The sequence below is a fragment of the Homo sapiens genome, chromosome 6 (genome assembly GCF_000001405.40).
Source record: "Homo sapiens chromosome 6, GRCh38.p14 Primary Assembly".
In the NCBI taxonomy this organism is placed as follows: Eukaryota; Metazoa; Chordata; class Mammalia; order Primates; family Hominidae; genus Homo; species Homo sapiens.
This window is the reverse complement of record NC_000006.12, coordinates 87,454,545-87,471,449: the sequence shown is the minus strand read 5'-3', so window position 1 is coordinate 87,471,449 and position 16,905 is coordinate 87,454,545. Positions and strand designations below refer to the sequence as shown.

At 37.5% G+C, this 16,905-nt stretch overlaps 1 protein-coding gene across 1 annotated transcript in view; it reads right to left on the bottom strand.

Annotated features, from left to right (window-relative positions):
- The window catches only part of CFAP206 (cilia and flagella associated protein 206), a 56,494-nt gene continuing 46,573 nt past the window's right edge, over window positions 6,985-16,905 (bottom strand). Inside the window, exons 12-13 of the mRNA NM_001031743.3 lie at window positions 10,285-10,428; window positions 6,985-7,430 (exon numbers count right to left, since the gene is read on the bottom strand). Coding sequence (NP_001026913.1) covers window positions 7,200-7,430; window positions 10,285-10,428 — 375 coding nt within the window. The 3' untranslated portion in view covers window positions 6,985-7,199. The remainder of the gene's footprint in view (window positions 7,431-10,284; window positions 10,429-16,905) is intronic.

The window sequence follows — 16,905 nt, the reverse complement described above, 5'->3', positions numbered from 1 at the left end:
GTCCTTCGTTTTACAGCTACTGCTTTGTATGGTTTATCTTGTCCCATTTTGGACTATCATTATAGTGTCAGCTTACATCAATTAAGTATAATTTCTAAATGCTCAATTTGTTCCAAAAGGCACTTGTAAGCCTGCCTCTGTTTTCAAGTCTGCACCAGCTGTTTTTACTTTTTTTTTTTTTTTGTCTTTTTTTCTTCTTGTAGAGATTGTGGGTGGGGGCGTCTCACTTTGTTGCCCAGGCTAGTTCTCGAACTCCCCACCTAAAACAATCCTCCCACCTCAGCCCCCCAAAGTTCTGGGATTACAGGTGTGAACCACCACACCTGGCCTGCACTAGCTTTTTGAAGCATGTTTTAATTTCTGGCAACAAGAGGTTTTGTTTTTTCCTGTCCTAGGTGGTAGAATCAACTAGGAACTATCATTCCTTCTGGTGAGGAAGCGCATTTTACACACACACACATGCACACACACGCACACGCACACACACACACACACAGAGATCCCAATTAAAGTGGTGGGTCAAATGTTGCTGAGCCATTTTTGTGGCATTTCTGGTTCACATAACATCATGCTGTTGAATCCTACTTTTCTTATACATTTTCATTGCCTCAAAAGACTATTATACTTCACTGGCATCAAACTTAACTAGATTTTCATGCCTCTTTGTCCTAACCCAGTTAGCCCAATACCAACAGGACAAATCTGCCAAACTATAGTCTGACAAAGTTGAGCTTACTGATGCCTTCTGATATAAAGTGGGTATTTGTCCCTGCCCAGATGTGATGTTGAATTGTAATCCTCAATGTTGGAGGTGGGGCCTGGTGGGAGCTCTGGATCATGAGGACAGAACCCTCAAGAATGGCTTGGGCCATCGCCTTGGTGATAAGTGAGCTCTTGCTCTGAGTTCACAGGTGATCTGGTGTTTTAAAAGTCTCTCTCTCTCTTTCTCTCTCTCTCCTGCTCTGGCCATGTGATGTGCCTGCTCCCACTTCGCCTTCCACCATGAGTAAAAGCTACCTGAGGCCTACCCAGAAGCATATGCCAGCACTGTGTTTCCTGTACAGGCTGCAGAATCATGAGCCAATTAAACCTATTTTCTTATGCATTACTCAGGCTCAGGTATTTCTTTATAGCACTGCAAGAACCACCTAAAACACATTCCAATGAGGGAAACTGAACACCAGAGGTATCTCAGGAAACAAAAAAGATAAATTTATAGAATTTTAGGGAAGGATGGGATTAGGTGAAATTTAAAGGAAGCAGTGTTTGATAAACTCAAAGCAGGACTATATGTATCCAATAGGGACTGTAGAACAGTCTCAGGATCCTGTTTCTTGAAAACTACAAAGTTACCATAGATGTGGAATGTTGTATTCAGGAGCCCCTTAATTGAGGCTGCTTCTTTGTATGAAAATGATGTAGATCCCCCCAAGCAAAAGTAGGGTGTTTCATTCTTACTGATGTAATTTCAAGCAGCAAGTTTTCCTAGAGTATATGATTTTAGAGAACAAAGTTTTTCAGTGAATTAGAAAGCAAACACTCAAAGAAGGGCCTTGCTATTATACTTTATAGTGTCAGCATATACTTAGTTATTTCCCATTAACTTTGCAGCAGGGTTTACCTGGGTTTGTTATCCCAGCTCAATTAATGACCAAGCAGCTATTTACAGTCTTACTCTGAACTAATTTTTACTTTCTCACTCTGAATTATCCTCAGTCTTGGAGGAAAAAAATATTGATTTAATGTCTTTCTTTCATGTGTGCCTAGTTTTCCTTACAACTCTGGTTAGAGAAAGCAGCAGCAATCCTTAACATATGAGATACAAGCCCCTGTGCCTGATAAGATAACCTTACAGTGCTTCAAGCAGCCATTGCTAATGCCACTTGAGTCCCTAATGATTTCTGATTGTCACTAGAAAACTACAGTATTTGCCTCAATCCCCTGCTCTCTTCCATTTCCTGCTCATGTATCAGAGCTACCCTAGTCTCAATGATGTATATAAAAAGAAGCCCAGTACTGTATCCATTGGTAATAAAGTAAAAGTATGAACTTAATTAAATAAAAAGGCTGTGAGGAAGCAAATACCAAAAGGCTTAAGGAGGTTATAATTGAATTCAAATATGGTAGCTATATAATAGATTATTAAATGTGGTAATGTTTAAAGAATAGTAAGCAGTTAACCATAAAGAACATATATAGATATAGATACCAAAAGAAAATTATTTCCCTGACAGTTTAAGCATATTTCTTTCATTGTGCTATTAAGCATCCAAAACCTATTTGCTAAGTTATTGTTTTTATTTTATTTATTTTTATTTTTTGAGACAGAGTCTTGCATTGTTGCCTGGGCTGGAGTCTAATGGCACAATCTTGGCTCACTGCAACCTCCGCCTCCAGGGTTCATGCAATTCTCCTGCCTCAGCTTCCTGAGTAGCTGGGATTACAGGCACACACCACCACACCCAGCTAATTTTTTGTATTTTTAGTAGGGACGGGGTTTCACTATATTGGCCAAACTGGTCTCAAACTCCTGACTTCCTGATCTGCTGCCTCAGCCTCCCAAGTTATTGTTATTTTAAAGCAATTATTTCCTACAGTATAATATGACTAAAAAGCCAATAATTGTCACATTTTATAATTGATAAAAGGATACAGGGAGATAATGTAAAATTCAATGTCTGGATTAGGAATTAAACATGAGTAATAATCATGTGTATCCAGACATTTCATATTTGAGCTTAACTATCCCTTGCCTCTCTTTTCTTTTTTCATTACCGTAATCCCTCTTTCCTTTTCCTGCCAGTCACTGATGGTTTGTACCTATTTCTACCATTTTATGCTTGCTTTGCATCAATGGTATTTCCACTCAAGCCAACTCTAGGAAAAGAGAGTTTGACAATTGCCTACTCCACTGATAACTCTAATCCATCATCCTCTTTTGTTATTCACCATTTTTTGAAAGTCATAATGTGCCAAGCATTATTCTAGGCATTAACTGAGGGCTAGAAAACAAAAAGTGCAGAAAAATGGGCAAGGGGGTACAATAGACCTGAAACATTGGAGAATCTCTATTCTCTTAGCTAAGATTGACATGGCACTTACCAGGTAAGTGCTTTTTATGTGTTAACTTATTTAATCCTTATGACAACCCAATCAATGAATTTGGAACTATTATTATCTCATTTTTATGATACAGAAACTGCAGCAGAGAGGTGTTAAGTGGTACAGCTGGTAAGTAGAAGAGCTAGACTTTTCTTCCATGATCACAGAGCTTACTTTACATCTTTTTTCTATTCTTCTGACTGCTACTCTGTCTTATTTTGTCTTCTCTTCCTCCTCATGTAACCCCTATTCTCATGGGGATGACCTCCCAAATTATCTTTGTGCAGCCCAAATTCCTATCACCTCTGCTTTACTATCCTTGTCATCTCTTAAACTCAAATTTTCTAGTGCTGAACATGTTATCCTTTTTGACCAACCAGCTCCCCTTCTCAGTTATCCTTTATCTCCTAGGGCAGAAAGCCTGAGGTCATACTTTGAATTTTTCTTCCTTTTCCTGAGATATTATATCTTGTCCGCTTAATTTAATCTAGCATTTGCCCCCCAACATCCCCCATCATGCATGCCCCGTTCTTGCAGGAGCTTCCTAGCCATCTCTCCAAAGCGAGTATCCCTCTCCCACAATCAATATTCTACTCAAGAATCTGCCATGATTTTCTAATGTCCTACCACAGGAAGGCAAAATGTTTCTCTGCTTGGCTTTCAAAGTCCTCCAGAAAGTAAACCAACCAACTCTGTTTATTCAACTTTATTTGCCAGTACTTCCTCAAAAATAATCTCCTTTTCCCTCTTTACCATTTTTCTCCCTCTCCTTTTGCAATAACTACTTTATTGCTGAATTCTATTAGCTCCCACCTTGACTATTCAAATAATCACTCAACGAATACCCTGCTTCCAGTTTGCCCTTTCATTCCTTCTTTTTTTAATTCATTCATTTATCCAACAAGATACAAATGCCAGGGGATATAAAGATGACTAATGCATAATTCAAATCTCAAGAAATTCAAATTTAACAGGAAGAATACAGATGCACTACTATCTATACATCAATTTATTTTAAGTGCTATAATAAAAGTAATAATAAAATCCAATGAAAATTCAAAGAAGGAAGCAATCAACTTGCTCACAAGAAATGGGGAAAACTTTCATGGAAAAGATAAAGTCTGATCACACTCTTTGAGGACTGTACCTGTGGACTACATTCCAGGGCAGAGTGTGAAAAGCACAAGTTAAGAGTAGGTGTATAAAAGACCATTACCTATTTGGGCTGGGCGTGGGGGCTCACGCCTGTAATCCCAGCACTTTGGGAGGCCGAGGTGGGCAGATCACTTGAGGTCAGGAGTTCGAGACCAGCCTGGCCAACATGGCAAAACCCCATCTGTACTAAAAATACAAAAATTAGACGGGCATGGTGGCACATGCCTGTAGTCCCAGCTACTCAGGAGGCTGGGGCATGAGAATCACTTGAACCAGGGAGGCAGAGGTTACAGTGAACCAAGATCACGCCACTGCACTCCAGCCTGGGCAACAGAGCAAGACTCTATCTCAAAAAAATAAAAAAAATAAAGACCATGACCTATTTGAAGAGTTTTGGTTCAATCTGGCTAATGTGTGTGGTGTGTGGAGAGAGTATGGGAAGAGTAGGAGAGGAAACTGGAGGATAAATGGAGATCATATTTTAAAAAGTTTTACATAATACATGAAGGAGGTTTTAGTTCATTCCCTAGGAAGCGGACAAGAGTCTTGGTGACTTTTAAGCAACTGAGGCAAAGGCTGTGGGGAAGAGGAGGCCAGATGACAGGATCAGATTTATGCATGAGAAAACATCCTGATGAACCATATAGAAAAATGGAGAGAGCAGTGACCCAGGCAGTAAGACAAAGTCCTGCTGGGGAGGTGAGAATAGGAAGACATGAATCTCAATGACAATTCAGGTCAAATGAACAGGGCTTGAAGGCTAGTAAAGTGTAGGGGGAGAAAGACAGGAAGTTTTTAACTTATGCTACTGAGTAAGGCAGTGATGCCTTTGAAAATAGAAGAAAATAAAGAGAAAGAAACAAGTTTGGCAGAGAAAGTTATTTTGATCTGTGACCTGCTGAAATGGGGGTGACCATCAGACATTAAATTCAGCATATGGTTGGAAATCTTCAGAAGGATAGGGCTTGAATAGATGGTGGAGGTCCAGGGAGAGGATGAGTTTTCCATTGGATGTAGCTCCCTTTATTCTGTTGTACTTACCAGGTGACTGTCTGATATTAGGATTGGGTTTTTAAATTGGATTTGGTATTTTTATTCACTTGGCCATTCTACTTCCAAGCCTTAACTTGATAAGCCCAAATTTCAGGTTACAGCCATTCTTTTCTGTGTTTAGGAATCTTGCAGAATCAAATAAGGGTTAATTGAACAGATAAAATGACATTCCTGAATTTGTAAATTTTAGTATCACCCCACTCCTCCAGGCCCTGCCTTAACAGCCAGCCAGTCTATCTTAAACATCATTTGTAAACTACAGGTATGAAAATCACAAAAAATTAGAAGTAGGTTTGTTTGAAGTTTATATGCAGAAAATGGATTTGAAAGCATATTCATAGTATAAATCACATTTAAGTAGCCAGGTGCGGTGGCTCACACCTGTAATCCCAGCACTTTGGGAGGCCAAGGTGGGCAGATCACTTGAGGTCAGGAGTTCAAGACAAGCCTGGCCAACATGGTGAAACCCCATCTCTACTAAAAATACAAAAATTGGCCAGGCGTGGTAGTGCACACCTGTAATCCCAGCTACTTGGGAGGCTGAGGCAGGAGAATCACTTGAACCCAGGAGGCAGAGATTGCAGTGAGCCGAGATCGCGCCACTGCACTCCAGCCTGGGCAACAGAGCAAGACTCCATCTCAAAAACAAATAAACAAAAACATTTAAGCTACACAGAAAGCAAATTATACAAATGCCTTAGTAAAAGGTCACCTGAGCAGAAAAAAATACGCCAAATACAAATGACCTCCTAGCTACTAAAGCAAGATAAACAGCCCTTCCTAGAAGCTTTATTATCCATGAATTGGTATTAGAAGTATGTAAGACAGTAATAAAACCACAGTTATAAAATATAGCTACCAGCAATTCATGGGAGCTTTAAACACAACTGCCTATGCAGTCAGGCAAATAAGGCAAAGCAGTGACGTGGGAGGCCCATAAGGCAGCAGGAACTAGATTAGGCAATGGAGGATTGAAAGTGCCTGCCCTATGAATGGGCAAAGCTACTACTTGCAGGAATGCTGGCCAAGTGTTAGCAGATATTCTGATTTCTTCTTTTTTTGAAGGGCCAGAAATACAAATTTTATGTCAAATTTCTACATTTTGAAAAACACCATGTGAGGTGGGCATGGTGGCTTATGCCTATAATCCCATCACTTTGGGAGGCTGAGGCAAAAGGATCTCTTGAGCCCAGGAGTTCCAGACCCGCCAGGGGAATATGGTGAAACTCTGTCTCTACAGAAAATTGTTTTAAAAATTAGTCAGGTGTGGTAACACACGCCTGTGGTCCCAGCTACTCAGGAGGCTAAGGTAGGATTGCTTTAGCCCAGGAGGTCGAGGCTGCAGTGAGCTGTGATTGTACCACTACATTCCAGCCTAGGTGACAGAGCAAAACCCTGTCTCAAAAAAAAAAAAAAAAAAAAAAGAAAGAAAAAAACATCATGTGGACCTTTGCTCCAATTGTTCCAAATTAGTAAGGTTTTGTTACATATCAGTTTAATCCATGTTAACATTTAATAGCTAACAGAGCTGAAAATATTGATTAGGTTTTAAGTTTGTAACGTTTAACATTAAATATGGTTTAGAAATAGACTTCTATTCCAGTAATAATCTTATATTTATATCTAAATGTTATCATAATTTCAATCTTAATGCTGACAAATTTTTCTAACAAATAAAAGATAAATGGACAGTTTTATTTTTCAATTTCAACAGAATGAAAAATGTGTTACAGAAAACAGTTTGATAAAATATGGGAACCCAATAAACAGTCACACAACCAATGAATGTGCCACCCCTACAAAATTAATTTGTATAGATGTTAATATACCTTTAAGTACTTGCTATTGTTCATAATTGAGTAGCATCTATTTTAAAACGTTGTCTGTAATTAGGTTTCATCCACATCTCTAGTTAAGTTCACCTTGACCTCATCGGTGATTTCGCTCTTTCCTCCACGAAGACCAGCCAAGTAAATCTGAGGCCTGGGCACCCCAGTGCTGTCTTCCCTCATGGACTGGGTGCTAGTGTCCTTTGGAGGGTACACTTGGGAACAATTTTCTCTTCTCAAGTGACTAAGATCAGTTTGTACTGAGTGAGTAACTTTCTGGCGCAAATTAGCCTAAAGAGAAAGAGAATACAGGAATTAACATTTCTCTAAAGAACAAATAACATAAAATATTATCAGATACCAGTTAATATCTGCCTATTTTTGTCTTCAATCCACAAGAAATTAATTCCATAACATAGCATTTTTTCTATAAAACATTGGAAAATCTAGAACATAATAGAAAATTAAATATCCCTTACCAAGACGTAGAAAAATATGTAAAATGTTGAAAATTGACCTCAAAAAACATACAGATTCAAAATTACAGTGAACTCAACCAGTTATTTATTAATATAATCTAATTCCTTCATTATTATACTTTGAGATTCATATAACTTGGATTTTTCCACTATACTTGTTTTCTTTTAACAAAAATATAAGATTTATACAGTATTATCTTTTAAAAATGGACTTCACCCTAGATTTTTAACATAAAAGAGTCTGATGCTTTCCATTTTGTATTTTACAGTATTCTACATTTTGCTTACTCCCTTTATAGATTATTAGTAAACATGAGGTTAAACAGATTACTCAGGCTGGGAAGCAAGGAGGAGCTTATAAAAAGAAGAATAAGGTTGCTGCACTTATAGTAAAAGCCAAGAAAAAACTCAAAAGGCATTATAGCATGTGAGTGAAGAAGGTGACACCTGGAATTAGAGGAAACATTTCAGAGTTTGAGATACTGCAGGTGACTGAGAACCGAAACTACTCCCCAATACCCAGGTTATTGTCCACATTAATATGACTTTACTATTCCATTGTCTTCATTAGCATGATTTTACCATTCCAAGAGACTCTTGCCTAAGCAAATAACTTGATTGCTCATTTCAGTAGTACCTGAGAGATGTGTCAACTCTTCAGTAGTAAGCATCAAAACACAGTTTCAGTCCTAAGAGTCTGCATCCCTTGCCTCAAAAAATCTTCTTGCTATTCCCACCAATGCTGGACTGCTTTTTCATGATCCTTACCCAATCCGATTCAAACCTCCATCCTACCCCCAGTCCACCTCAGTCATTGGAAGACCTGCCTTAGCAAACTTCAAATTCTCAATCAATTCTGACTTTGCAGTTCCTCTTCTGAGACACTGCCAAAGCACTGTTGAGGTGGTGTTTTCCCTTATGGCTGTAAGCAATAAACTCAGCTTTGTCTTATCCACAGGTTAGGTAGGTGACACTTGGGGAGCTGGCATTCAATATAATACAGTTCTAGGGAATAATAAGGCCCAAGGTGAGAGTCAGAATTAAGTGGAGATTGAGGAATGGGAAGAGAGGGCTCAGTCAGTATGAAGTTCAGACCCCTGAATACCCCATTCTCTTAACATTTCCAGTCCATACCTATGCTGTCACCTCTATCTCTCCTATCCTATCCAGCCATCACTTCCCTCCTCCTCTTTGCCTATTTGTATCTCAAAAGCAACATAAAATATCACCTATGTTAATTTAGTAGAATTTTCATTTCACTTCTGTTACACCACTTACAAGGAGGTACCACTTACAAGGAGGTACTGAAATATTTTTAATGTAACAGTATCACTTGCTAGAACAAAGTAGTGGGATATATATGTTACCCAATAAATCTAATGAACTCAAGTGAGTTTAGTAGATAATAGAAAATAATATGGGGGTTGGGCATTTCATGAACTACAGGAGAGTAACTGATAGGAAGGAATACTAATGGAACAATGATCTGGAAGATATATGGGGAAACTGATCCTTCCTCATGCCAGGGAACTGAAAAGCTGCCACCAGAGTGAGTAGCAAAGGAAATAATGTGGTCAGTGGGACTGAATATACAAATGGACTGAATATACAAATGGACAAAGGCTAGACCATATATGACAATAGAACTCTTTGACTTGCAGCCTGTACATCAACCAGTCAGGGAAGCCAGTCTCAACCTCTATAGCTGTAGCAGTTGACCCAGAATGTTGAAGACTTAGCCAACTTCTCCATTTTTTGGCCCCTTCTGCCCCAACTCAGGACCAACCAGAGAAACCTAGATATGCTCACCAAACCAATCTCATAAAATGCCCTGCTTCTAGTTAGCCTGCTTCCAGCTTTCTCATGTTAACAAACTACAATCAGAGAACATCTGAAGGCTTCCCCCTTTTCTGACTATAAAGCTTTCCCACTCCCCTGCATGCTTTGAGTCTACCAAACACAAGTGACAGTGTCTGACTCCCTTGCTACAGTAAGCTCTAAATAAATAGCCTTGCTTTGTTCTCATTTGGGTAGGCATTGTTTATTTCCACACCTGATTTCAGTTAAAGAGATGGATAAAATATACTAAAAAGGGGCTACAGACAAAATATTTTATTTTTTCCATACTATAAATATTTGTTGTTTAAAATGACAAGATACCATAAAGAGGGGATGGTGGGGGTAATTTCACTCAGTTGGACAGGGATGAGAGTTTCAAAGACAGGCTTTAAGGGTAGGTATCTATATTGTAATTAAGGTGACTGAGAATCAGAAGGATGAGAGTGCCCAGGGTCTGGAGATAATATGTTGTTGAGGGGAAAATATCTATGCTTTAATAGAAAAGGTCCAAAAAACAAACAAAAAAAAGAATGGTATACCTTAAGTGATTAAAGGAAGTTGGGAGTGCTTTAAATACTAGCACCAAGTTTTAAAACTGATGATAGACAGATAGATATATAGATATTATCATTGTTCTATATATGCTTAAAATTAGAAGACAATCTTATAATGTAAACCTAGCAAGTTATAAATTATATTTTTGTTAGCAAAGAACTCTGTATAAAACTCATTATTTTATATAAATAATTTAATTTACCAACTCTATGAGTAACAATAGATTAAAATTCCCCAACATATAAATAATTCTAGAAAGTATTGTTACAAACCAATTTTATAGCTTTTCTTCTTAATTCCCATTCATTCCACTCATATGATCTCACAATCGTTGGTGGCAGTATGTGTGTATTCGTCTGTGTGCTACTTTCACATTTTGTAATTGGTTTTATATAATGTTTGTCAGCATCTCTCATCTAAAGAAGTGGAGTTTTGTAGTTAGTGCTTGTAAAAAATAAACATTATTTACTGATAACTAAAATATTTAGCTAAAACTAACAAAACACTTAAAAAACAATAATTTTTGGACATGGAATATACTTGTAAATACCAATAAAGAAAATAAACACATAATTAATGAGCTGAATATAATTGTTTTTCTGGGAATTATGGCTTCGTGATTTTGTTAATGTAGGGGGTGTTTTTTTTTAACTTTTATTTTAGATTCAAGGGGGCACATGTGCAGGTTTGTTACAAGGGTATATTGCACAATGCTGAGATTCGAGGCAGGATTGAACCCATCACCCAGGTAGTGACCACAGTACCCACTAGTTCATTTTTCAGCCTATGCCCCCCTCCCACTCTTTCCACTGTTGCAGTCTCCAGTGTCTACTGGTCCCATCTTTATGTCCATGTGTACCCAATTTTTAGCTCCCACTTATAAATGATAACATGCAGTGTTTGGTTTTCTGTAGAACATGTATTTTGGAAGGAGAAAACATCCCTCATTCCCAAGTCAAATATCCCTCCCCACTTTGCACAACTGATAACATGAGTAAATACCTGTTGAAAATGGATAGAAATTGAAAATAGCTTTATTAGGTAAAAATCACATCTATTTGAACTATCAAAACCTCTTTAAGACATATGTTGAACTCAAGCTATGCATACATAGCAGGTTATTATCCAAGGTTTTTGCTTTGTTTTTAGTTGAATATACTGATTTTCTTTTGGGGAACCCAATATTAAGAATTCACTAATTCCAGGCTAAACAAGACATGATGGTGCTGGACATGACATTGTTGACGTTGTTGGAGGGAGTGGTAGAGGTTTAAGGTACTTAGGTCACAGTAAAAAGGAGGGAGAAGATATTCTTTCCAAACAACAGATAATCACTGAGTGTCTAACATTTGATATAATTTCTGACTATAAAATTATCTTATGATATATTTAGGTAGATTTTAAAAATGCTAAAAAGATAGTTAATAATACTGTACCATACAAGTAAATGGCAAGTAAATTAGACAGCAAGGACTACATGAAAAAGACAGAGATAAAACTCATTTCTGCAGATATTAAAGGTCACTGAAGAACAGGTGGGAATTAAATATCCAGAAAGACAGGAAAAAACAAGACCAGGTGTATAGGAAAAAATTATGCTTTAGTGGAAAACGAGGCATTATCCACATACAACATACCTTTCCAGTCGTCTGATTCTAGCCTTTCACTGTCCTTGGGGTATCTTACAACTCTGTAAGTTATAAGTGAGTGATAGCAAGACCAAATAATTTCTGTCTGTAGACATGCACAGTATATCCTGTCTGTAGACGTTCAACTGACTTCCCTTTCCCCATGTGGAAAAATCAGCATTGCCTCCATTTACACATTCATTTGAATATTCCTGATCTATAAATGTGTCTGTTCTTAGGGTTCTCTTTTGAACTGGTTATAACATCTACCTGGTCCCCTCATTGATTAATGAATAGATTACTCTTAACACATGTTGACTTTTATATCTGCTTATCTGCATGACAATAATTTTACCCATTTCTGAAAACTATCTTTTAACAAATAGAAGACTAGAGCATATAGAACAAGTATTTTAAAACCAGTATATAACTCACAATTTTTCTGACAGAGAGGTCATGGAGGGAATTAGTAGAAATAGAAGGATAAAAAGACATGTATGCCTCGAACACCAGTCCCCAAAATTTGGATTTCATCTTACAGACAAAAAACGGAAGAGTTTTGAATTCAGAGTAAAATGAATGGCATTTTCTAATTTGCAGAAAAATTATTAAAATTTTCTATTGTAAATTTTCCCCTCATAATTTTTCAAAGTAGTTGGCTCCTGCAATCATTTGTTCTAAATTAGAATTTTGTATAACATCTAATTAAGCAAAAAATTACATGTATTAAACTTAAGATAGCAACATTTATAATACTCATCAAAATGAATTATCAGCTCCAGGAACTCTACAATTTGAACAAATTTGAGAACTACTGACTTGGTAAACTTAATTTGGTGGTATTTTTTAATTTTTATGGGTACACAGTAGGTGTACATAATTATCAGGTTACATGAGAGATTTTGATACAGGCATACAATGTGTAATAATCACATCAGGTAAATGGGGTGTCCATCACCTCAAACAGTCATCATGTCTTGTTATGAATATTCCAATTGTACTCTTTCAGTTATTCTGAAATGTACAACAAATTACTGCTGACTGTACTCACCCTGTTGTGCTATAAAATACTAGATCTTACGCCTTTTATTTAACTATATTTTTGTACCCATTAACCATCCCCATTTCTCACTCCCCACAACTACCTTTACCAGCCCTCTGGTAACCATCATTCTGCTATCTCCATTTCAATTAGTTTAGTTTTTAGCTCCCACAAAGGAGCGAGGACATATGAAGTTTGTCTTTCTGTGCCTGGCTTATTTCACTGAAAATAATATTCTCCAGTTCCATCCGTTTTTGCAAATGACAGGATCTCCTTTTTTATAGCTGAATAGTACTCTATTATGTATATGTACCACATTTTCTTTATCCAGTTGTCTTTGATGGATACGTGGGTTGCTTCCAAATCTTGGCTACTGTGGATAGTGCTGTAATAAATATGGGAGTGCAGATATCTCCTTGATATACTGATTTCCTTTCTTTTGGGTATATACCTAGCAGTGGGATTGCAGGATCACATGGTATTTCTATATAGTTTTTTTAGGAACTTCTATACTGTTCTCCATAGTGGCTTACTAATTTACATTCCCACCAACAGTGTACTAGGGTTCCCTTTCTCCATATCCTCACCGGCATTCGTTATTGCCTGCCTTTTTGATATAAGCCATTTTAACTGGGGTGGGATGATATCTCATTATAGTTTTGATTTGCATTTCCCTGATGATCAGTGATGTTGAGCACCTTTTCATATATCTATTTGCCATTTGTATATCTTCTTTTGAGAAATGTCTATCCAGATCTTTTGCCCATTTTTCAGTTGGATTACTAGATTCTTTCCTAATTGAGTTGTTTGAGCTCCTTATATATTCTGGCTATTAGTCCCTTATCAGATGGATAGTTTGCAAATATTTTCTCCCATTCTGTGAGTTGTCTCTTCACTTTGTTGTTTTCTTTGCTGTGCAGAAGCTTTTTAACTTGATGTGATCACATTTGTCCATTTTTGCTTTGGTTGTCTGTGCTGGTGGGGAATGACCCAAGAAATCTTTGCCCAGTCCAATATCCTGGAGAGTTTCCCCAATGTTTTCCTGTAGTATTAATAGTTTCATAGTTTGAGGTCTCAGATTTAAGTCTTTAATCCACTTTGATTTGATTCTTGTATATGGCGAGAGATAGGGTCTAGTTTCATTCTTCTGCACATGGATATCCAGTTTTCCCAGCACCATTTATTGAAGAGACTGTCCTTTCCCCAACGTATATTCTTGGCACCTTTGTTTAAAATAAGTTCACAGTAGATGTATGGATTTATTTCTGGGTTATCTATTCTGTTCCATTGGTCTATGTGTCTTGTTTTTATGCCAGTACCATGCTATTTTGCTTACTATAGCTCTGTAGTATAATTTGAAGTTAGGTAATGTGATTCCTCCAGTTTTGTTCTTTTTGCTTAGGATGGCTTTGGCTATTCAGGGTCTTTTGTGGTTCCATATAAGTTGTAAGGTTATTTTTTCTATTTCTTACAGAATGTCATTGGTATTTTGATAAGGATTGCATTGAATCTGTAGATGCTTGAGTAGTATGAACATTTTAACAATATTAATTTTTCCAATCCATTAACATGTTGCTTTGTGTCCTCTTCAATTTCTTTTCTTTTTTTTTTTTTTTTTGAGAGGTTGTCTCACTCTGTCGCCCAGGCTGGAGTGCAGTGGCACAATCTCAGCTCACTGCAAGCTCCGCCTCCTGGGTTCATGCCATTCTCCTGCCTCAGCCTCCTGAGTAGCTGGGACAACAGGCACCTGCCACCACGCGTGGCTAATTTTTTTGTATTTTTAGTAGAGACGGGGTTTCACTGTGTTAGCCAGGATGGTTTCGATCTTCTGACCTTGTGATCCATCTGCCTCAGCCTCCCAAAGTGCTGGGATTACAGGTGTGAGCCACTGCGTTTTCAGCCAACCTCAGTTTCTTTCATCAATGTTTTATAGTTATCTTCATAGAGATCTTTCACTTCTTTGGTTAAGTTTATTCCTAGGTTTTTAATTTTATTTGTAGCTATTGAAAATGGGATTACTTTCTTGATTTCTTTCAGATTCTTTGCTTTTAGCATACAGAAATGCTACTGATTTTTGTATGTTGATTTCGTATTCTGCAACTTTACTGTATTTGTTTATCAGTTGTATTAGTTTTTTGGTGGAGTCTTAAGATTTTTCCAAATGTAAGATCATATCATCTGCAAACAAGCATAATTTAACTTCTTCCTTTCCGAGGTGGATGCCTTCATTTCTATTGTCTGATTGCTCTAGCTAGGAATTCCAGTACTATGTTAAATAACAGTGTTAAAAGTGGGCATATTTGTCTTGTTCCAGATCTCAGAGGAAAGGCTTTCATTTTTCCCGTTCGGTATGATACTACCTCTGGGTCTGCTGTATATGGCTTTTATTGTGTTGAGGTATATTCCTTCTATACCCAGTTTTTTTGAGGTTTTTTAATCATAGAATGATGTTGAATTTTATCAAATGCTTTTTCAGCATTTGATAAAGCATATGACCAATTAAAATGGTCATATGGTTTTTGTCCTTCATTCTGCTGACATGATGTATCACATTGATTTGCATATGTTGAACTATCCTTGCATCTATGGGATGAATCCCACTTGGTCATAATGAAAGACCTTTTTAATGTGTTGTTGAATTCAGTTTGTTAGTATTTTGTTAAGGATTTCACATCAATGTTCACCAGCAATACTGACCTCTAGTTTTCCTTTGTTGATGTGTCTTTGTCTGGTTTTGGTATCAGCATAATAATTGCCTTGTAGAATGAGTTTGGAAGTATTCCCTCTTCCTCTACTTTTTGAAAGAGTTTGAGTAGGACTGATATTCATCCTTCTTTAAATGTTTGGTAAAATTCAGCAGTGAAGCCACTGGGTCCCTGGCTTTTCTTTGCTGGGAGACCTTTTATTAAGGGTTTCATCTCCTTACTTGTTATTGATCTATTCAGGTTTTGTATTTCTTCATGGTTCAATTTTGGTAGGTTTGATGTGTCTATGAATTTATTTCTTCTGGGTTTTCCAATTGATTGGCATGTAGTTGCTAATAGTAGCCTCTAGTGGTCCTTTGAATTTTTGTGATATCAGTTGTAATGTCTCCTTTTTTATCTTTGATTTTCTTTGGGTCTTCTCTCATGTTTTCCTAGCCTGGCTAAAGTGTAACTATTGACTAACAATTTGTCTATTTTGTTTATCTTTTCTTAAAAAAAGTACCTTTTCATTTTATTGATCTTTTATATTTTTTCATTTCAATTTCATTTATTTCTGCTCTGATCTTTATTATTTCTTTTCATCTACTAATTTTGGCTGTGGTTTGCTCTTGCTTTTCTAGTTTTTTAAGATGCATGCTTGGGTTCTTTATTTGATGTCTTTCTACTGTTTTCATGTAGATAGTTATTGCTATAAGCTTCTCTCTTACTACTGCTTTTGTGTTTCCACTTTTATTGTTTCAAGAAATTTTTTAATTTCCTTCTTAATTCCTCTGTTGACCCACTGGTCATTAAGGAGCGTATTGTTTAATTTCCATGTGTTTATATGGTTTCCAAAGTTCCAGTCTGGGTGTGGTGGCTCACATCTGTAATCCCAGCACTTTGGGAGGCCGAAGTGGGTGGATCACTTGAGGTCAGGAGTTCAAGTCCAGCCCGGCCAACATGGTGAAACCCAGTCTCTACAAAAATACAAAAATTAGCTGACCATGGTGGTGTATGCCTGTAATCCCAGCTACTTGGGAGGCTGAGGCAGGAGAATCACTTGAACCCGGGAGGCAGAGGTTACAGTGAGCAGAGATCATGCCACTAAAGTCCAGGCTGGGCGACAGAGGGAGACTCCATAAAAAAAATAATAAAAAATAAAAAAATAAAATAATAAAGTTCCTCTTGTTATTGATTTTTAGGGTTTTTTGTTGTTTTGTTTTGTTTTTTTTTTTTTTTGAGACAGAGTCTCACTCTGTCACCCAGGCTGGAGTGCAGTGGCGCAATCTCAGCTCACTGTAGCCTCTGCCTCCCGGGTTCAAGCAATTCTCCTGCCTCAGCCTCCTGAGTAGCTAGGATTACAGGCATGCACCACCACACCTGGATATTTTTATATTTTTTTAGTAGAGACAGGGTTTCACCATGTTGGCCAGGCTGGTCTCAAACTCCTGACCTCATGATCTGCCTGCCTCGGCCTCCCAAAGTGCTGGGATTACAGCATGAGCCACCACACCCAGCCAATTTCTAGTTTTATTCCAT